Source organism: Homo sapiens, chromosome 19 (genome assembly GCF_000001405.40).
Source record: "Homo sapiens chromosome 19, GRCh38.p14 Primary Assembly".
Lineage (NCBI taxonomy): Eukaryota > Metazoa > Chordata > Mammalia > Primates > Hominidae > Homo > Homo sapiens.
The window spans coordinates 46,018,624-46,040,085 of NC_000019.10; the positions used below are offsets into that span (position 1 = coordinate 46,018,624).

Sequence of the window (21,462 nt, forward strand, 5' to 3'; positions counted from 1 at the left end):
GCTTATGACTAAAGGGTGAGGGTGGAGTGGGGAGAAATGTGGAGGAAGAGAAATTGGGGGGTATAATTGGGACCTGTGTGTCTGTGCCTCGGAGGCAGATTGGGACTCAGGCCTAGGAAAAGCTTGTACACTCTCTAAACAGTGCAAGGGCAGACCTGGGAGGAGTAGTGAGCAGCCCGTCCCTAAAGGAGTCCAAGCAAAGTTTCTGCGCAGGATGCCTTTGGCTGTGTGGTGGGAAGGAGGTGTCTTGCAGCGTGGTTCACTGCCCAGGAGGACCCCCAGGACCCACTGTTGGTGACATCCCGGCCGCCTTGGTGCTGATTCCTGGGCTCTGACCTGAGACCTCTGGGTTCTGAGCTGTGATGTTGCTCTCGAGCTGGGATCTCCGGGGTCTTGGTTCAGGGCCGGGGCCTCTGGGTTCCAAGCACCAGTGAGGAGAGTGCTGGGAGGGGAAGGGGTGGGAGGGCTTTGGTCTTGTGGGAGGGAGAGAAGGAGGGGAGGTGTGTGGTGGGACCTGCTGAGGAACACATTTTGAGCTACATCTTTATTGGAGAAGGAGACAGTGGGGTTTTTGGCCATGGGAGGGGAGGAATGGGGTGCGGATCAGCAGGGCCTCAGGGGGAGCGGTAGTGTGGCCAATTCTGGATGAGGTGGTAGAGCTGGTTGCCTGGAGAGAGTGTACGCTGCACATCCCGGTGTCCTTTGAGCACATAGTTGGACCTCAGGGCTCCCTGAGCCACACCGCAGGCCAGTAGACCCTGGGCTGCCCGGATGGCCTGGGGTGTGGGCACCCGATCTGGAGGAGGCAGAGGTAGGAGTCAGGCAGGGGCTTCCCCGAAGGGGAAGTGATAGCGTAGGGCCCCGTGTCAGCCCCCATCCCAACTGGCTGGACAGTCACTCACCCATGTAGTTGCCCATGAAGCTGATGCCAATGGACATGGGGTTCCATAAGTGACCTGAGTGGGCACCCGTGAAGTTCCAGCCACGGCCCTCGTATACGAGCCCGTCTTCTCCAATCAGGAAGCTGCATGGGGAGGTGGGGGGGCTTGATGAGTGAGGGAGGGTTTCCCGAGGAGGACTCCTCCTCCTTCCTCCACTCACCCTGCCTCCGTTACTGCCGTGGTGCACACAACTTCCCCAGCATCCTTCTCACCCGTTAATTTCCCACGATAGTAACAATGACTGTGGTCATTTATTGGGCCCCTGCCATGTGCCAAGCACAGCTCTGCATACACCTTTTTCCATCCTCACAGCAACCCTGTGAGTCACTATCACCCCCGTTTTATATAGACAGAATCAGAGCGGTAGAATCACCTGCCCCGGGGTCACACAGCCTGTCTGGGGCACAGCTGGGGTTTTTAACCAGGCCTCCATGGTCCCCACCCATGTGATCTTGTGCGTTGCTCTCTCCTGCCTCCCTAGAGGATTTGTGGAAGTCCTGTTTTACTGAATCCTTGCAGGACAGCCCTCTGAGGCAGAGACTTTTTTTTTTTTTTTTTTTTAAGACGGGGTTTCACTCTTGTTGCTCAGGCTGGAGTGCAGTGGCGTGATCTCAGCTCACCGCAACCTCTGCCTCCTGGGTTCAAGTGATTCTCGTGCCTCAGCCTCCTGAGTACCTGGGATTACAAGCATGAGCCACCACACCCGGCTAATTTTTGTATTATTAGTAGAGATGGGGTTTCACCATGTTGGCCAGGCTGGTCTCGAACTCCCGACCTCAGGTGATCTGCCCGCCTTTGGCCTCCCAAAGTGCTGGGATTACAAGCATGAGTCACCGTGCCCAGCCAAGGCAGGGACTCTTATCATCCTCATCTTAAGCAGAGAGAGCAGAGACTCAGAAAGCGACATAATTTGTACAAGCTACTCAGAGCCCCCTGCCTCTCAGAACTCTGCCTTTGCCCCAGCTTGCTTCCTGCCCTCGGGGTCCACTGGGGGACAGGATCACAGACTCAAAGTTGGGGTCGTAACCAGATACCGACCCTGGAGCCCCAGCACCTGCCTCTTTGAGGTTCCCAAGCCTGGCAGCAGATCCTTAAGGCTGATTCATTCAGCACATCTGATTGAGCGTGTCTGACTTGGCAAATGGGAATGAACTAGAAGATCAGTGCCTTGGAGCTGCAGTATGTGCCAACTCAGCCCCCGCGCTCACAGTGTCATTAATGACGCACAGAATGTCGGAACTTCCGAATCTTGAGTCCCGAATCTGCTGCTTAGGAAGCCAGCTCCCAGAATCTGGCCCCAGTGATGCTGGCTGCTGGGACTGGCTGGTTATGGCCCTGCTGGTGATGCTGGCTGCTGGGACTGGCTGGTTATGGCCCTGCCATATTCCCGGAGCCTGGCATGATGGTGCTGGGGTCGGGGGTGGTTGGTTCTCCCTGGTCATTTGTTGCATGAATGCATCTCATTGAAACCTCAGCCACCATCGCCAAGCGGGTACAGTCAGAAGCCCCATTTACAGGTGAAGAAACGAGGCTCAGAGAGAGAAGGTGACGTGACATGGAAAGGGGATTCAGAACGTTAGAACCAGATTCGGAATCCTAAAAGCTGAGGGCCAGACAGCGGCTGCTTCTGTATGTGGTGATGTGGACCCGAGGCTCGGGCCTTCGTGACCTCATGGGAACACTTAGGATCAGAGCGCCTGAGTCTTGGAAACAAAATGTTGAAGTTGGAGTCTTTGATAAAATCTTGAACTGGAAGGGCTGGGAATACCTTTGGACACTTCTAGACTTCTCTGGGTGGGTTTTGTGTGTGTGTGTGTGTGAGACACAGCCTTAGGAGGTCCTGAGAACATGTGTCCCCTGGGTGGGGTCTATTGAAGTGGTCTCTGGGGACCTGCATGTTCCTCCAATAAGCTCTGCAGGAGATTCTGATGCTTACCTGGGTCTGAGAGCCTGCAGGATTGAAAGTTCCCTCCCTGTGGAAACCGTCAGGCTGGACTGCAGCCCATTCTAAGGAGGAGGTAGCTGGTAGGCGTGGCCCCGGACCTGCTTCAGCCTGCTTCAGCCGGCACCCCTTACAGTCTGTTCTCCCCACAGCAGCCAGAGGGAGTCTCTTGTACCTACACTAGCCCTGGTCCCTGCTCTGCGGGGGGAAGCCTCCCATGGCTCCCATCTCGGAGTAAAAGCTACAGTCCTCACTGTGGTCCACAAAGCCCTGCCTGGTCCTGCCCTTTCCTCATTTCATTCCGCTCGCCCGGCTGTGTTCAGCCACCCTGTCCTTCCCACAGGACCCGCCCACTCAACCCCGTTGGCTTTGCCCCCAGCACCCCCTGCCACCTGCAGGCCTCTGTCTGCTCCCCCATCCCAGAGCCAAGGCAGCCACTCTCAGGGAGGCTTTCCCTTGCCCCACCCTTCCAAGGAGCCTGTGTGGGTCTGGTCCCAGCCTGAGGTCACCCTCCCTCACCTCTTTCCTTTTATCCATCGCCTCTATCACCGTCTGAATTCACCTGTGGCCTTGGCTTGTTTCTCCCTGCTGGTCTTTCAACCCCAGGAGGCTAGAGTGGCACCGTTCTCCATGCCACATCTGGCACACTGCCTGGCACATAGTAGGTGCCTAATGGTAATAGCCCGTGGCTTTGCGGGCCCCCGTGTGCCAGGCAGTTCCTAGGTGCTTTGCCTGTATTGGCTCATATAAGGAGCAGATGGGCCGCGATTCCATTGACTTTGCCGAGGAGGAAGCTGAAGCCGGGAGGACCCGCCCCAGGCCTCAGCCAGCAATAAGATGAGCTGACCCTGGAACCCAGCTCCGCACTGAGTCAGCCTGGTTTTCCGCCTCCTAACAAAGGCACCAGGCATCAGGAAGGGGCGCCTTCATAAGGCGTCGCGGACACCTTGGTGTGTGTTAGGCAAAGCCTGCCCCTTCTTCCCGGGAGCGGGAGCGGGGCTTGGATTTCAGCCCATCCCCCCTTCTCACGCATCTTTGTGCTGTGAGCACCTGCCCCGGCCCACGTGGTGACCCGAGGAAGAAATGACCTTGTGAGGTTCAGTAAGCTGCTCAGGGTGTCAGCCAGGTGGCCTCAGCACCAGGCCTAGAAATGGTCCCGCTGGCGGGCACTTGCACACCTTTGCCTCTGGGATCCCCAGTCCAGCCCGTGCCCCCCTGCCACACTCACTTGTAGCCCACGTCGCACCAGCCCAGTGTCTTCATGTGGTAGTGCTGCACATTCCGGGCCTGCTGCTGGCACGAGGCGGGGGTGTTGCAGCTGCTGCCCGCCGTGTGCGATACCACCACATAGCGTAAGGGCAGGCTCAGGTGCTGGGCGCACTCTGATGCCAGGGCCTTCCACTCGTTCCGGGGCACTATGGGGCTGCAGCAGGCCGGGTCTTCTGTCTCCTGAGCCGCTCCGAGTCGAAGGAGGCTGGGGAGAGCCCAGGCAAGCAGCATAGAGCGGCGGGACATAGTGGCAGGGCGGCAGGGTCCGGGAGACCGCTAGGAGCGCCCGGTGGAGGGGCCGCCTTTATCTGCTGGGGGATTCCAGGAGTGGCCCGGAAAGTCTTGCTTCACACCCTGCTGGGACTTCCTGCTGGCCCAGCAGACCCCAGACTCAGCTTCCTTCTCTGGCTGGGCCAGGGCGGGATGCACTGTGGTTGGGGTCTGGGTCACGCCCACGGCAATGACAGGCCCCCTCGCTCAGCAGGGAGGGACGCACAGGCCCCTGGGCGCTTCGCCCCGCCGTTTCTGGAAGACCCGGGGCCGGGATCCCGGTCCTGCTTGTCTCTCCTCTCAGTGGAACATTGAACAACTCAACAGGAACTTACATCGCAGAGGCCCGGGGCATTGGCACATCTTCTCCCCGCAAGGACTGAGGTAACAAAGCTACCCATTTTAAAAACACTTCCTTCCCCCAGGTCCAAGCCTGATGCCATTTACGCTTGCAGCAAACTCAAGAGGTGAGTATCTGGAAGTCCATTTCACAGTGGAGTAAACTGAGGTTGAGAGCAGGGAAGTCACGGGCTGAGACACCGGAGGCACTGGAGCCCCGCGTCTAGAGCCAGGCTGCCTGCATGTGAATCCTGGATATGCAGTGTGTGAGAGCCTGCAAGTGGTTTTTAAAAATGTGTATTTAAAATTTTTTTTTTAATTTTCTATTTTATAAATAATATTTTCCTTTTTTTTTTTTTTTTTTTTTGAGATGGAGTTTTGCTCTTGTCACCCAGGCTGGAGTGCAATGGTGCGATCTTGGGCCACTGCAACCTCCGCCTCCTGGCTTCAAGTGATTCTCCTGCCTCAGCCTCCTGAGTAGCTGGGATTACAAGTGCACACCACCACGCCCAGCTAATTTTTATATTTTTGGTAGAGACGGGGTTTTGCCATGTTGGCCTGGCTGGTGTCGAACTCCTGACCTCAGGTGAGCCACCTGCCAGTGTTCCAGAGTGCTGGGATTACTATAGGCATGAGCCACCGTGCCTGACCTGTGTGGTGTGTTTTCATCTTCTGTGTTCTGCCTTCTCATATACATTGTACTCATGCTGTTACTGAATTGTGCACCAGGCATCTGTAGCACTTTTCAGAAATTATCATATACTCAACGACAAGCTTGCCAGATCCATGTTATTATTAACCCCTCTTACAGTTGACGGAACTGAGGCCCGGGGGGATGATCACATACAGGAGGTGATGAAGCCAGGGTTTGGCTACAGGCTTTCTGCCTGCAGAGTTATAAACCGTATTCTCCTCCCTACAAACTTATATAAGGACATTAAAAAAAAAAATCAAAACCATGTGCATCAATTTACCTTTTGTCACCTAATATTTCATGGGCATCTCACCAGGGCAGTACATCTAATTCTAATTTATTCTTTATAATAGTTGCACAATATGCTATAGTATCAGTTCAGCATTGTGGATCTTTTAGTTTTTGAAGGTTTTCCAGTATTTTCTCCACACTACGCAAAATATTTTCAGACATATATCCCTATGCACTGGTGCATTTATAAGTAAATTATAAACACAGAGTTATTAGGTCAATGAGTATACATATTTAATTAATATTACCAGATCATTTTCCCCAAAAAGCCATTAATAATTCATATTTTTCACCAGTAATGTTTTGGAGCCTCCTCACCCCGACCCCAGAAGTGGGTGTTATCACTTTTTTTTTTTTTTTTTTGAGTCAGAGTCTCGCTCTGTCACTCAGGCTGGAATGCAGTGGCACGATCTTGTCTCACTGTAAACCTCCACCTCCTGGGTTCAAGCCATTCTCCTGCCTCAGCCTCCCAGGTAGCTGGGATTACAGGCATGTGCCACCACACCTGGCTAATTTTTGTATTTGTAGTAGAGATGGGGTTTCGCCATGTTGGCCAAGCTGATCTCGAACTCCTGAGCTCAGGTGATCCACCCACCTCAGCCTCCCAAAGTGCTGGGATTACAGGCATGAGCCACCTTGCCTGGCCAGTGTTATCACTTCTTAAATTTATAAGTATAAAGTGACAGCTCCTTTGGCATTTTTATACCCACTCAGGAGACTGGGTATTTTTCTGTATTTGCTGTCTATATTTGGGCTTGCTCTTTTGTCAATTACCTGTTCATATCCATTGCCCATTAAAAAAAATTGGGTTGTTTGCCTTTTTGTTATTATTTGCAAAATGAACAAAAGAATCCCATAATTGGGATTTTTGACTTCTTGGGTGTGTACATTTTGTGTATTTCAGTTTTTTTAGAAGCATTAAAGAATAATGTAATATAAAAAGTGTGTAAACACATTTTTTATAGAGTTGATAGACTTAATAGAGTAGTGAGCTTATGAGTGTTCACGAAGTGAATCCACCTGTGTATCCAGTGCCTGGATTAAGAAGTAGAGCTACACTTAAAATTTTAATAGGAATTGGTAAATACAATACCAAAAAGATTTTAGTATATATTTTTCCCACAATATGATCAGTTTTTAAATGTTTTACTAATCCAAAGAACAAGATCTCATTATTGCTTTATTTGCATTTCCTTGAACATTAGAGAGGTGATTATCTTTTTACATATTTATGGCTATCAGCATCCATCTTCAAACTGTCTGTTCATCTCTTCTGATCATTTTCTTGTTGAGTTGTATATGGGGGATATTAACCCTATGTCTTATCAAATGTGCTGTAAACCCTTTCCTCTAATCTGTTAAAAAAATATCTAGGTTTTTCTTTTATGGTTTCTGTGTTTCCTGTCTTGCCTTAAGAGGGACTTTTCACACTAAGATTGTAAAACTTTTTCTATTTAAAAAAGATTATTTTGTGTTTTACTTTTAGATCTTTATCTCGGCTAAAATGTATACTTGCATGTGGTGTGAGGTAGGGGTCTGATCTTGTTTCCAGATGCCTAGCCGTTTGCCCAGGTTCTGTTTATTATATAGGTAGACCTGGTTTTAAATTTCCATTCTGCCCCTTATTAGCTACATGATCTTGGGAAATTGGATAGCAATTGACACAGTCGACCACTTCCTCCTTCTCAAAATACTTATTTCCCTTAGCTTTTGTGATGTAAGACTGCCTTGATTTTCCTTCTGCTTCTCTGGCTGGTCTTTTTTTCTCTCTCTCTTTTTTTCAGAGCAATTCTTCCCTCCTGGACCCTCAAACCATATATTTTGTGCTGAGTGATCTTATCCACATAATGGCTTCAGCCACAGTCAAAATGCAGAGGATTCCTGTATTTCAATGTCTAGTCTGGAGCTCTCAGTTGAGTTCTGGATCTGTGTATCCACCTGGCCACTTGACGCCTCCACTTGGATGTCCCACAGGCACCTCCAATGCAAAATGACTCATGACCTTCTCCTCCCCATCAGCACTCTCACAGGAGTTCCTGTCTAAGGAAATGGTATCACCATCTTCCCATTACAAAAGCCATACATTTGAGCACCATCCTTGACTAATTCCTGTTCCTTCCTCTGTTGTACCCAGTACCCAAAAGAATGCCCAGCACATGGTAGGTGCTCACTAAATAGCTACTTGATTGAATGGATATGCAACCCACCACCAAGGAATGCCACTGTGATGAATTAGAACTCTTCTATCTAATTCCATTCTCTGCACCCTGGTCCAGACACCACCTCCTTTCACCTGGATTTTGCCCTGCCTCTTCAGTGACCTCCCAGGATGCACTCTGGCCTCTGTGAAGCCAAAGCTCTGCTCAGATCTTTTCTAAAGTCACCCTCAAAAATGAGTCACATTTTTCATTGGCATCTCTTGATTCCTAGAATGAGGCCCAAGCTCCTCCCCATGGCCAACAGCATGGGCTGCCTACAGTATGGGCTGCCCCCATCCCAGCCTCACCTTGCTTACTCCCAAAAGCCTCTTTCTGACTCCTGCAGCCACTGTCCCCTTCTTGCTGCCCTTGAACATGCTTTGACTACCCTGTTCCCTTGGGGACTTCAGACACACCAGGTATAAGTTTTAAATAGAGGAACCTGGAACGAATTCAGGAACTTTGTACCTTAGCTTTAAGACAACAAAACACCAAGCCAGCCTTTTGTAAAAAGACAGGACTATTTACACATCACATTCCTTTTTTTAATTTTTATTTTCTTTTTTCCCTTTCTTTTGCCTGTTCTTTCATTTGAGGCACAGATCCCTTAAAGACACTAAGAATATAAACATTAGCCAGCTGGAGTGAAGCCTTCCATTGTGAGAGTTTTATTTAGTCTGTATCTTTAAAAAAATGTATTTACTTATTTATTTTTTGAGACAGTTTCACTCTGTTGCCCAGGCTGGAGTGCAGTGGCACAATCTTGGCTCACCACAACCTCCGCCTCTTGGGTTCAAGCAATTCTTTTGCCTCAGCTTCCCTAGTAGCTGGGATGACAGGTGCCCACCACCATGCTCAGTTAGTTTTTGTATTTTTTTTTTTTTTTTTTTTAGTAGAGATGGGGGTTTCACTATGTTGGCCAGGCTGGTCTTGAACTCCTGACCTCAGGTGATCTGCCTGCCTCGGCCTCCCAAAATGCTGGGATTAAAGGTGTGAGCCATATTTACTTACTTATTTTTACATACAGGTGTGAGCCATATTTACTTACTTATTTTTACATACAGGTGTGAGCCATATTTACTTATTTTTACATACAGGTGTGAGCCATATTTACTTACTTATTTTTACATACAGGTGTGAGCCATATTTACTTATTTTTACATACAGGTGTGAGCCATATTTACTTACTTATTTTTACATACAATACAAACACTTTAAATAAAGTTGAAGATCATCTCCATGGACCAGGTGGTCAAGCCGAACACCCAGGATCCAGCTGTCAAGTTCAGGGTAGCCCCTGAGCTTCTCACTCTGACTCCAACAGGGTGAGCTTGCTATCCTTGTGGCACAGGGCCTTTTGCATTGTGGATGATGGAGCGGCTCGTATAGTCCATAAGTTTTGTGCGTAGCTGTGTACCCTGTCCCTGTGAGCTGGTTCTGCCCGGCACCTCGGTGACCTCGAGGAAAGAAGCTGAGGTAAGACCTGGCCTGCCTGGCTCCTCGACTTCCTTCCTCAGCCCTCAAATTCTGGCTCCCACCTCACTCTCTAAATTTATTTTTATTTTAAATTTCATTTTAGAGACAGAGTCTTGCTTTGTCACCCAGGCTGGAGGGCAGTGGCACCATCATAGCTCACTGCAGACTCGAACTCCTGGGCTCAAGGGATCCTCCTGCCTCGGCCTCCAAAAATGGTGAGATTATGGACATGAGACACTGCACTGGGCCTATTGTGTATCTTGTTGGCCTAAAATTGAAACATGCCTTGTGAGCGTTTACTGCAACTTCAATGAGTGATTATTATGTTGCCTTTAATCCTGAGAGACTGTATTACTTGTGCACTTTTTTTTTTTTTGGATAGGGGGAAATTAGATTTATTCCCTATATGTTTTAGAAAATTGAAGTTTTAAATATCAGACTCACTAGCTGCCCTGATTTAATCTGTTACAATTAAGTCAGTTAAAAAACTCCTCCTTGGCCGGGCATGGTGGCTCACACCTGTAATCCCAGCACTTTGGAAGGCCAAGGTGGGCAAATCACTTGAGATCAGGAGTTCGAGATCAGCCTGGCCAACATGATGAAACCCTGTCTCCCCTAAAAATACAAAAATTAGCCAGGCGTGGTGGCGGGCGCCTGTAATCCCAGCTACTTGGGAGGCTGAGGCAGGAGAATCGCTTGAGCCCGGGAGGCAGAGGTTGTAGTGAGCTGAGATTGCGCTACTGCACTCCAGCCTGGGCAACAGAGCCAGACCCTGTCTAAAACAAAACAAAACAAAACAACAACAAAACCCCCAGGACTTCCTGTACCCACATTCTAGTGGGGAAGACAGGAAGCAAATTAACAAACATCTAATAACTATTTTTAAAAGCCAGATATACGATATTTCACGTGGATGACCCGATTGGCCTGCTGCGGGTCAGGGAAACAGGCTCCCAGGTCGCATCCTCAGCTTGTTCTTGGCGCTGGAAAAAAGATGCTACGCGGTTCCCTCCTTCAGCCACCAGAGGGCGCGCCCTCCCCGTTTGTCCTCTTTCGCGCACTTTTTCTCCCGCACCTGTCAGTCACAGGGCAGCCCTTTAGCGGAACAGGGATCCTGTTCTGTGATTTTCCTGAGGGCCTGCCTCTCCCAGGGAGTAGCGGGCTCCTACGAACAGTAATAGCAACCATAATGTAGAGACCAAGAGCAGAGTTACTGAGTTTTATGCTGATGTCCAAAGTCACAGGGCATTTCATTTTTCTTCTTTTTTCCTTTCCTTTAAAAAAATGGGCTGGGCATGGTGGCTCACGCCTATAATCCCAGCTCTTTGGAAGGCCGAGGCGGGTGGATCACCCGAGGTCAGGAGTTCGAGACCAGCATGGCCAACATGATGAAACCCTGTCTCTACTAAAAGTACAAAAAATTAGCTGGCTGTGGTGGTGGGCGCCCGTAATCCCAGCTACTCGGGAGGCTGAGGCAGGAGAATCACTTGAACCCGGGAGGTGGAGGTTGCAATGAGCCGAGATTGAACCATTGCACTCCAGCCTGGGCAACAAGAGCAAAACTGTGCCTCAAAAAAAAAAAAAAAAAAAAAAGTGATTGGGTCGTGAGAGTTCTGTTTTCATAAATGAATTAATACATTCATGAATTAATGAGTTAATAGATGAATGGGTTATCATGGTAGTAGGACTGGTGGCTTTATAAGAAGAGGAAGAGAGACTTTAGCTAGCATCCTCAGCCCCCTCGCCATGGGATGCCCCATGCTGCCTCAACACCCTGTAGAGTCCCCACTAGCCAGAAGGCTGTCAACAGAAGGACCCCACAGTTTCAGCCTCAGAACTGTAAGAAACAAATTTTGTTTCTTTATAAATTACCCAGTTTCAGGTATTCTGTTATAAGCAACAAAAAATGGACTAAGACAGGAATATTACTGGGTTAAGAAATAAAAGTAAAAAAGAACTACTATTGATACATGCAATAATCTGGATAAATCTCAAGGGCATTATGCTAAGTGAAAAAAAGTCAATCTCAAAAGATTTCATACTGTACAATTCCAATTATATAACTTTTTTTTTTAGACGGAGTCTTGCTGTGTCACCCAGGCTGGAGTGCAGTGGTACAATCTTGGCTCACTCTCACTGCAACCTCTGCCTCCCAGATTCAAGCAATTCTCCTTGCCTCAGCCTCCCAAGTAGCTGGGATTACAGGAGTGCACTACCACGCCTGGCTAATTTTTGTATTTTTAGTAGAGATGGGGTTTCACCATGTTGGCCAACCTGGTCTTGAACTCCTGACCTCAGGTGATCCACCCGCCTTGGCCTCCCAAAGTGCTGTGATTACACGTATGAGCCACAGCGCCCAGCCTATATAACATTCTTACAATGAGAACACAACAGAGATGGAGAACAGATTGGTATTTGCAAAGGGACAGATACAGTGTGTTTGTGTATGTGCATGTATATGTGTGTGTGCCTGCCACTATAGTGGTAACACAAGGGGATTCCTTTGTGGGTCTCTATCTTGATTGTGGTGGTAGGTATACAAATATTTATATGGATCAGATTGCATAGAAACACACATGCACATGCGTGCACACACACACAGGAATGCATGTGAAACTGGTGAATACTGAATAAGGTCCTCTGTAATCTAGTTAACAGTAATGTACCCATGTCACTTTCCTGGTTTTGATATTATACTATGGTTATGTAAGATGTTCCCACTGTGGGAATACTGGATGAATGTTACGTGGGACTGTATGTACCATGCAATTTCCTGTGAGTCTGTAAGAGTTCAACACAAAAAGTAATTACAAAAGAAGAAAAGAAAAGGTGCTGGTGATGACAAGGTTGTTGGGAAAAGGGCTTGTGCGGTGCCTGCATAAACTGGCCGTAAAAAATATGGGACAATAAGTTGTGGAAAGCCACAGGAGGCCTCTGATGAGGAAAGCCTTCTAATTGCCATCACGTTCCCATGGCCAGAGCGTGACCTGCTCTCTTATTTACAAGCACTGTGCTCAAGGAGAAAGACACTCCTTTGAAGCATTGGAATGTGGCCAGATATGCCGGCTCCTAGTTACGCCCACTCCCCACAGCTGCTCTCCAGTGAGTTAAAGAATAAATCAGTAGTTAAGTTTATGCTGCTTCAGCACAAAGACAATTTACCTAAACCGCCATTGCTATAGATTAGGTGTATGACACACCGCCCCCCTTTCACCATTTCACCCCTGAATATCTGCTTCTCAGATCTAAGTGATTGTACTCAGTAGTGTGGAGACCAGAGTTTGGCACCTTTTGCAGCCTCCAAAAGTGCAGTTGGCCCCCTGGCACCCCACCCTTTATGCACTCTTAACCTGTCTCTTCTCATTCCTTCGTCGCCACCGGACTTTGGGTACCCTACGGGTGGTGTTGAGGCTGGTCCCCAACACAAGGTGACAGCAGCCATCCCACTCCATTAGCAACTGTGGTGATAAGCACTGGTTTAAAATGGGCTGAATTGAAAACTGTTACTCTTGCCTTAGTCCAGGGATTGGCAAACTTTTTCTATAAGCCCCAGGTAGTAAATATTTTAGGCTTTATGGACCACATATAATCTCTGTTGCATATTCGTTTCTCTCTCTGTGTGTCTGTGTGTCTATGTGTGCTTTAAAATGTTTTATAAATGTAAAAACCATTATTAACTCATTGGCTGTTTAAAATAGGCCACATATAGTGTGTGTGTGTGTGTGTGTGTGTGTGTGTGTGTGTGTGCACATAGGTGAGATTTGGTCTGTGGGTTATAGTTTACCAACCCCTGCTTTATACAATATTTCTAAAGGCTGGACATGTTACGTCTTCTGACTCTGGAGTTGTTGACAATGTCTTAGCCACCTGTTCTGCCACTTGGAAGACTATAGACCAGCAGACTAAAGATATCTCTTTATAAGGCTGTGAACTCTGGAAATTCAATCACAGCTGCTAATGGAAACTTCTAAGTCCACTAGCAGCTGTGATTCATTATTCATGTAGATGCTCATAGTAATGATGGCAGCAGTGGCCCGTCTGGAGCTGCCACTGCCATCATGTGGGCTGCAGTGGGGGGCAGGTGGCACAGTTGGGGCTGTACACTCCACTAGACGGTTGGAGCTGGGGACAAGTGGGAGCCCTGCCCCTTCCAAGTTGGTGGGGCAGGAGCTCCCCGGGTGCAGCTGCAGCCACCCAAGTCATGGCTATGGACCCAGGCCTTCCACTCCATGGAGCAGGCAGAAACCCCACCCTCCCAGGTGCAGCTGCGGCTGCCCAAGTTGTGGCCTCCCTGTGCTCTTGGAGGTGCTGGGAGCAGGCAGGAGCCCCACCTTCCTGGGCACAGCTGTAGCTGCCCAAGTCATGGCTGCAGACCTGGGGCTCCCACTGCATGGAGGCCAGAGCCCCACCCCCCCAGGCATAGCTGCAGCCACCCAAGCCATGGCTGCAGACCCAGGCATCTCTGCACTCTTAGGGGCCTGGGAAGGCACTCCCTGCCCTCACAGGCTTAGAAGTGCCTCCTCCTGCTGCCTGGCTTCTCCCTGCTGTCAGCACCCACTGCAATCTTAGAGCAAAGTTGGGGCCGAGCCTAGGCACTGTCACAGCCTGGCTGGGTGTGCACATACCCGGGGCAGTGCTGACACACCAGCCCCCTGCCACAGCCCCCTCCAGACTTTGGGCACCGATGAGCATAGGAGGAAAGCTGAGGGGGTGCTGAGGGCAGCTTGGTACTGGCCTGCAGGTGCCCTTTGGCATAAGCAGCCTGGGCACCATGGATGGCAGCAGGAGGCAGACAGCCTCCTGGGCAGAAGGGGGCAGGTCCTGGTGAGGCCCCACCTTGAGGTCAGGGAGGGCCTGAAGGCTGGGGGCTGGGCTGCCAGTCCCAGGACCAGAGGATGAACCTGTGGTGCCTTTTTGGGGCCTATTCATGGCCATCTGTGGAGCAATCAGCATGCACTTCCTCCCCTCTGTGGCCCATAAAAGCCCCAGGCTCAACCAGCACAGGGCAGATGATGGGACAACCAGCTGCAGAGCGGAGCTATACTTTCTGCTGAGAGCTGGAGCAGATGATGGGATGACCAGCTCCAGGGAGGAGCTACCCTCTCTGTTGAGAGCTGGACACTTGTTGGGATGATCTGCATGCAGAAAGGAGCTGCCTGCTGCAGGAGACTGAGCTGGTCTATTGCTCAGTAAAGCTCCTCTTCATCTTGCTCACCCTTCGCTTGTCTATGTACCTCATTCTTCCTGGTCACAGGACAAGAACTTGGGACCCACTAAATGGCGGGGCTAAAAGAGCTGTAACACAAACAGGGCTGAAACATGCCCCTTGCTTACCACGCTGCAGGCAAAGAGAAGGAGACAAGAGCTGTGGCCCTTCAGGGAGCCCAGACTTGGGAGCTCCCTGAGCCAGGGCTATGACTCCCTCTTGGGGCCCTGCAGCTCCTGGTGTCTCCAGGCATCTGGATGCTACCACATTCCCCAGCTCCAGCCAGGGAAGCTGAAGTGAGGCACCGGGTCCAGCTGCAGCCTCGCAGAGAGCCGGCACCATGCTGGCACCGGGAGCTGCCCGCCCCGTGGCAGCAACTGGCACGTCTGACTGCGCAGTGGCTGGACCCCATGCTTGCTCACACACCCCTCGCAGTCTTCCTTGGAGGCATGGGATCAAGGCCAGTAGTATAAGCTGAGTGCAGCCTGCCAGGCCAAGTGGGCAGAACGAGCCCAGAGGGTCCAAGCAAAACTCGGGCAAAGGTGCCACCAGCCATGGGTTTCTGGCCAGAAAAGCAGCACTCCAAAGATCCTGTAACAGTAAGGACCCATTCTCTGATGAGACTGACTGGAATCAAGCTACTGATCAAATTTGCACAACCTTCACTGCTGTCATTGCCATCCGGATCCATCATTGTAACACGCTGACCTTATGGCCATGCGAGGAGAGCAACCCTAGCATCTGGGGAGAGAATGCCACATGCTCACGAGGCACGGGGAAGGAAGAACAGTGCTGTGTTCGCCCCCCAGATTCAGCACTGCAGCCCGAATCAAGCAACAGCTGCTGCTGGGTTTGCCACCCCCCACCTACATGCTATGAAAACAGAGAAACTCGTTTTTCTTTTACTTTTCCTTTCTTTTTTTTTTTTTTTTTGAGATGGAGTCTCACTCTGTCATCCACACTGGAGTGCAATGGCGCAATCTCGGCTCACTGCAACCTCCACCTCCCAGATTTAAGCGATTCTCCTGTCTCAGCCAACAGAGTAGCTGGGATTACAGGCGCCTGCCACCACACCCGGCTAATTTTTGTATTTTTAGTAGAGACGGGGTTTCACCATGTTGGTCAGGCTGGTCTGGAACTCCTGACCTTGTGATCCGCCCGCCTCAGCCAAAGTGCTGGGATCACAGGTGTGAGACACTGTGCCCGGCTGAAATATGTTTTTCTGACATGGCTGGTCCTGAACCACTCTGTTCTGCCTTATACCATCAATAGCACCTTCCAAACGTGGATCTTCCTCATATGTGCACAAACACATAGACTGATAGACATCTTGCTTTAATCGGACATAGAAATTTATGGCTGGGCACAGTGGCTCACACCTGTAATCCCAGCACTTTGGGAAGCTGATGTGGGTGGATCACTTGAGCCCGGGAGCTCAAGAACAGCCTGGGCAACATGGTAAAGCCATGCATCTACTTTACAAAAAAAAAAAAAAAAATATATATATATATATATTTATATATATATATATATGGTAGTGCATGCCTGTAGTCCCAGCTACTTGGGAGGCTGAGGTGGGAGAATTGCTTGGGCCCAGGAGGTGTGTTGAGATGAGCCAGCATCGCATCACTGCATTCTAGCCTGGGTGATAGAGCAAGACCCTGTCTCAAAAAAAAAAAAAGCTGGACATGTTGTATTTTAGGTTATGAGACTCTGGAAATAATTTAAATCTTGTTTTAGTTGGCTCTGTTTGACACCACTATAGCAGGGGAAGGAAGTTGGGGTGCTGTCTCCACTGCCAGGTCAGGGTAGAAGTCCGGGTTCTTGACAGCCTTCATTGATACCTGGTGGGGAGAGGGTGAAGAGTGCCTTGATACTGATGGGTTTTGAAATTCAGGTTCCCCTTGTCGTCCCCACTGATACTGTGACTCTATTCTTGGCACTCTCTAACCTTAACCTGGTGGGATAATTAGGATTCCTTACAGCCCACAAAGAGACTGAAAAAACAAAGGTAGAATATCCAAGGATGCTGGGACAACTATAAAACCGGTAACAGGCTGGGCATGATGGCTCATGTCTGTAATCCCAGCATTTTGGGAGGCTGAGGAGGGTGGATCACTTGAGGTCAGGAGTTCGAGACAGGCCGGCCAACATGGTGAAAGCCCGTCTCTACTGAAAATACAAAAGTTAGCTGAGCGTGGTGGCACCTGCCTGTAGTTCCAGATACTCGGGAGGCTGAGGCAGGAGAACTGCTTAAACCTGGGAGGCAGAGGTTGCAGTGAGCCGAGATTGCACCACTGCACTCCAGCCTGGGTGACAGAGCAAGACTCTGTCTCAAAAAACAAAAACAAAAACAAACAAAACCTGTAACATTCACTTAATGGTAATATTGATGACAGCAGTGGGCTGTCTGGTGTGACCGCTGCCATCACGCTGGCCACTGCAGGGAGGGTGCAGGAAGGAGGTGGACAGCACTTCCACAGCTGCAGTCTTGGGGGCTGGCACCATGGGATTGGGCTGGGTCGCCTGTAGCGGGGTGGGGAGCAGCGCAGTGGGAGAGCAGTGCCTTCAGGCACATCACAAAGCATTTTCACAGATAGCTTGTTTCTAGTTTTTATGGTGGGATAAAGGGGCCTGATGCAGATCTGGGGCCATGATTTGGGGGCCCGGGCTGGGAAGTGGGAGTGGTGCTCTCTTCAGGGTCCCAGCCACTGGCGAAGCCACTGTGCCGACCTTGCTGAGGGTGCTAGGTTCCTGGGGCTCAGGAGAAGGATCTGCACTGCGCCGCTGGGGTCTCCTCCCTGGTGTCCACCTGGGCATTGGAGTGATTGCCAAACCTGTCACTCCAAATGGCCTGGCCCAGGGCCCGTGATCCACTCTGTCCCAGGCCATCCCTGAGTGCCGGGGTAACGAGGCAGCTTGTGGCAATGTCGCCCCTACCCCAGATGCCAGCCCAGGCCCAGCGAGGATCAGGAGTCCCCTCCCCAGGCTGTGAGGGGGCACAGCCAGAGCTACATGCTCCACAGGGCAGCCAGGAGCCCTGCCCAAGTTGTGGCTGCAGATCTGAGCCTCTGTGCTCTTGGGGGGCCAGGAGCAGGCAGGAGCCCTGCCTTCCTGGGTGCCACTGCACCTGCCCAAAGCGTGGCTGCAGACCCAGGCCTCCTGCTCCATGGAGCAGGCGGGAGCCTCCTCCTGCCCCTGCAGCTGCAGCTGCCCAAACCAGCAACTGCAGCCTCAGGCATTCCTGCACTCTTGGGAGCCTGAGAAGTGCCCCCCTGCCTTTGCAGGCTTGGAAGTGCCTGCTTCCGCTGCCTGGCTTCTCCCTGTTGTTGTCGCCTACCATAATCTTGGAGCAAAGCTAGGGCTGAGCCCAGCGGGCCATGAACAGCAGCAGGAGGCAAACAGATTCCTGGGTGGAAAGGGCCACGTCCCTGGTTAGGCCTCACCTTCAGGCCTGGGAGGGCCTCATGGCTGGGGGCTGGGCTGCTAGACTCACAGGCCAGGAGCGGGGACTTGTGATTCCTTTTCTGGGTGCCCGTGGTCACCCATGGACCAATTGGTATGCACTTCCTCCCTTCTGAGGTCCATAAAAACGATGGGCTCAGCCAGAGGAGGGCAGAGGATGGAGAGATGACTGAATGACCAGCTGAGAAGAGGAGCCACCCTCTCTGCTGAGAGCTGGGAAGATGACAGGATGAACAGCTGCAGATAGGAGCTCTCCTCTCTAGGGCCTCCTCTTTGCTGAGGGCTGAACACTTGACAGGATGACCTGCCTACAGAGAGGAGCTACCCACTGTGGGTCTCTTCTGAGCTATTCTATCACTTAACAAAGCTCCTCTTTGTCTTGCTCACCCTCCATTTGTCTGTGTACCTTTCTTCCTGGATGCAGGATAAGAACTCAGGCAAAAGTGCCAGCAGCCACAGAGGTTTCCAGCCAGAAAGAGCAACACCCCAAAGATTCCATAACAATACCAGAAGGAAAAAAAAAAAAAGAAATGAATGGAAGAAATGTTTGAAACAATAATGACTGAGAATTTCCCCAAATTCATGTCAGACACCAAACCACAGATCCAGGAAGCTCAGAGAACACCAAGCAAGATAAATGCCAACAAAGCAAGACCTCATCTCCTGAAAGGTGCTTACTTTCTGGGAGACACAGATCCCCTCCTGGAAGAGGCCCATGACCACACGGCAGGAGTTCCTTTCCGAGACTGCCAAGCACCTGTAGCAGTGCAGACCCTGAGCTCTCTTCATGCACAGCAGGGCCATCAGCAGGACCAGGGCAAAGGTCTTCATGGCATAGGAACTGCTCATTCTTCCTCTCTTGCCAGTCATTTAGTTTCAATAAACTAAAATTTGTTCTTAGTTTTGTAGCTTAAAAAAAAACTACAAATAAGCCAGTGCAATTTCCACAACCATGTTGTCTTGTACATTTTCTGATGCTATAACAGAAGTGGATTGGATAATTTAAAAAGAACAGAGATTTATTTCTTATGGTTCTGGAGGCTGGGAAGTCCAAGGTCCAGGGGTCCACATCTGGCAAGGGCCTTCTTGCTGTGTCACCCCATGGCAGAATGCAAAAGACAAGAGAGCCCATGCACACAAGAGGGGAAAGGGGTCTGAACTCATCCTTTATTTTTTATTTTTATTTTTTTATTATACTTTAAGTTTTAGGGTACATGTGCTTGTGCAGGTTAGTTACATATGTATACATGTGCCATGCTGGTGCGCTGCACCCACTAACTTGTCATCTAGCAGTAGGTATATCTCCCGATGCTATCCCGCCCCCCTCCCCCCACCCCACAACAGTCCCCAGAGTGTGATATTCCCCTTCCTGTGTCCATGTGATCTCATTGTTCAATTCCCACCTATGAGTGAGAATATGCGGTGTTTGGTTTTTTGTTCTTGCGATAGTTTACTGAGAATGATGATTTCCAATTTCATCCATGTCCCTACAAAGGACATGAACTCATCATTTTTTATGGCTGCATAGTGTTCCATGGTGTATATGTGCCACATTTTCTTAATCCAGTCTATCATAGATCGACATTTGGGTTGGTTCCAAGTCTTTGCTATTGTGAATAATGCCGCAATAAACATACGTGTGCAGGTGTCTTTATAACAGCATGATTTATAGTCCTTTGGGTATATACCCAGTAATGGGATGGCTGGGTCAAATGGTATTTCCAGTTCTAGATCCCTGAGGAATCGCCACACTGACTTCCACCATGGTTGAACTAGTTTACAGTCCCACCAACAGTGTAAAAGTGTTCCTATTTCTCCACATCCTCTCCAGCACCTGTTGTTTCCTGACTTTTTAATGATTGCCATTCTAACTGGTGTGAGATGGTATCTCATTGTGGTTTTGATTTGCAGTTCTCTGATGGCCAGTGATGATGAGCATTTTTTCATGTGTTTTTTGGCTGCATAAATGTCTTCTTTTGAGAAGTGTCTGTTCATGTCCTTTGCCCACTTTTTGATGGGGTTGTTTGTTTTTTTCTTGTAAATTTGTTTGAGTTCATTGTAGATTCTGGATATTAGCCCTTTGTCAGATGAGTAGGTTGCAAAAATTTTCTCCCATTTTGTAGGTTGCCTGTTCAACTCTGATGGTAGTTTCTTTTGCTGTGCAGAAGCTCTTTAGTTTAATTAGATCCCATTTGTCAATTTTGTCTTTTGTTGCCATTGCTTTTGGTGTTTTAGACATGAAGTCCTTGCTCATGCCTATGTCCTGAATGGTAATGCCTAGGTTTTCTTCTAGGGTTTTTATGGTTTTAGGTCTAACGTTTAAGTCTTTAATCCATCTTGAATTGATTTTTGTATAAGGTGTAAGGAAGGGATCCAGTTTCAGCTTTCTACATATGGCTAGCCAGTTTTCCCAGCACCATTTATTAAATAGGGAATCCTTTCCCCATTGCTTGTTTTTCTCAGGTTTGTCAAAGATCAGATAGTTGTAGATATGCGGCGTTATTTCTGAGGGCTCTGTTCTGTTCCATTGATCTATATCTCTGTTTTGGTACCAGTACCATGCTGTTTTGGTTACTGTAGCCTTATAGTATAGTTTGAAGTCAGGTAGTGTGATGCCTCCAGCTTTGTTCTTTTGGCTTAGGATTGACTTGGCGATGAGGGCTCTTTTTTGGTTCCATATGAACTTTAAAGTAGTTTTTTCCAATTCTGTGAAGAAAGTCATTGGTAGCTTGATGGGGATGGCATTGAATCTGTAAATTACCTTGGGCAGTATGGCCATTTTCACGATATTGATTCTTCCTACCCATGAGCATGGAATGTTCTTCCATTTGTTTGTATCCTCTTTTATTTCCTTGAGCAGTGGTTTGTAGTTCTCCTTGAAGAGGTCCTTCACATCCCTTGTAAGTTGGATTCCTAGGTATTTTATTCTCTGTGAAGCAATTGTGAATGGGAGTTCACTCATGATTTGGCTCTCTGTTTGTCTGTTGTTGGTGTATAAGAATGCTTGTGATTTTTGTACATTGATTTTGTATCCTGAGACTTTGCTGAAGTTGCTTATTTGCACTCCAGCCTGGGGGACAGAGTGAAACTCTGTCACAACAACAACAAAATCAATGCAGTATAATTACCAAGTATTAGATTCTAGAGTGATCTGTGACTCTGCTACCCCAGAACAGTCTAGATGAGGTCAGATCTTGACACAGGGCTTTTTGGGTGGTATTCCTGCAGAAGGAGAGAAGTGGGAGAGGGGAATAAGAGGGAGGGTGGTAGCAGCAGTGGCGGGGAAGGAACAGAGACATGGAGAAAGACAGAGTTGCATGGTTACTGAGAGATGGGAAGGTATGGAACCCAGCAGAGACTGCACATCTGGG

At 49.3% G+C, this 21,462-nt stretch overlaps 2 protein-coding genes, 1 long non-coding RNA gene and 1 other non-coding gene across 9 annotated transcripts in view, besides 2 other annotated features; 2 read left to right on the top strand and 2 right to left on the bottom strand.

Moving 5' to 3' along the window:
* Positions 1-308: 308 nt before the first annotated feature.
* On the top strand, positions 309-426 carry MIR769 (microRNA 769). The gene has a single exon (NR_030412.1). It is a non-coding gene; the product is annotated as a microRNA 769 (primary transcript).
* A 103-nt stretch (positions 427-529) lies between these two features.
* Positions 530-4,430, bottom strand: PGLYRP1 (peptidoglycan recognition protein 1). The gene is made up of 3 exons (NM_005091.3): positions 4,112-4,430; positions 903-1,024; positions 530-796 (listed from the first exon to the last, which is right to left on the bottom strand). Exons 1-3 carry the CDS (start codon positions 4,396-4,398, stop codon positions 615-617), a joined length of 591 nt encoding a protein of 196 aa, NP_005082.1. The 5' UTR covers positions 4,399-4,430; the 3' UTR covers positions 530-614.
* Positions 3,038-3,923: an enhancer, noted in NCBI's record as "H3K27ac-H3K4me1 hESC enhancer chr19:46524919-46525804 (GRCh37/hg19 assembly coordinates)". NCBI's record gives its function as "activates a minimal SCP1, AML or CMV promoter by ChIP-STARR-seq in naive H9 embryonic stem cells {active_cell/tissue: H9 hESC(naive)}" and the evidence as "EXISTENCE:reporter gene assay evidence [ECO:0000049][PMID:30033119]".
* Positions 4,431-9,187: 4,757 nt separating the features above from the next.
* Positions 9,188-11,291, top strand: LOC105372421 (uncharacterized). Its single transcript, NR_187871.1, has 3 exons — positions 9,188-9,420; positions 9,524-9,635; positions 10,310-11,291. It is a non-coding gene; the product is annotated as an uncharacterized LOC105372421 (long non-coding RNA).
* Positions 13,950-14,553: an enhancer, noted in NCBI's record as "H3K4me1 hESC enhancer chr19:46535831-46536434 (GRCh37/hg19 assembly coordinates)". NCBI's record gives its function as "activates a minimal SCP1, AML or CMV promoter by ChIP-STARR-seq in naive H9 embryonic stem cells {active_cell/tissue: H9 hESC(naive)}" and the evidence as "EXISTENCE:reporter gene assay evidence [ECO:0000049][PMID:30033119]".
* The window catches only part of IGFL4 (IGF like family member 4), a 38,448-nt gene continuing 37,544 nt past the window's right edge, over positions 20,559-21,462 (bottom strand). For all 6 annotated transcript variants that reach the window (NR_169756.1, NR_163177.1, NR_163175.1 and 3 more), the window contains one exon: positions 20,559-21,313. Coding sequence is in view for 2 of the 6 variants with exons in the window: in XM_047438851.1 (XP_047294807.1) it covers positions 21,269-21,313 (45 nt within the window). In the remaining 4 variants the exon portion in view is untranslated. The remainder of the gene's footprint in view (positions 21,314-21,462) is intronic.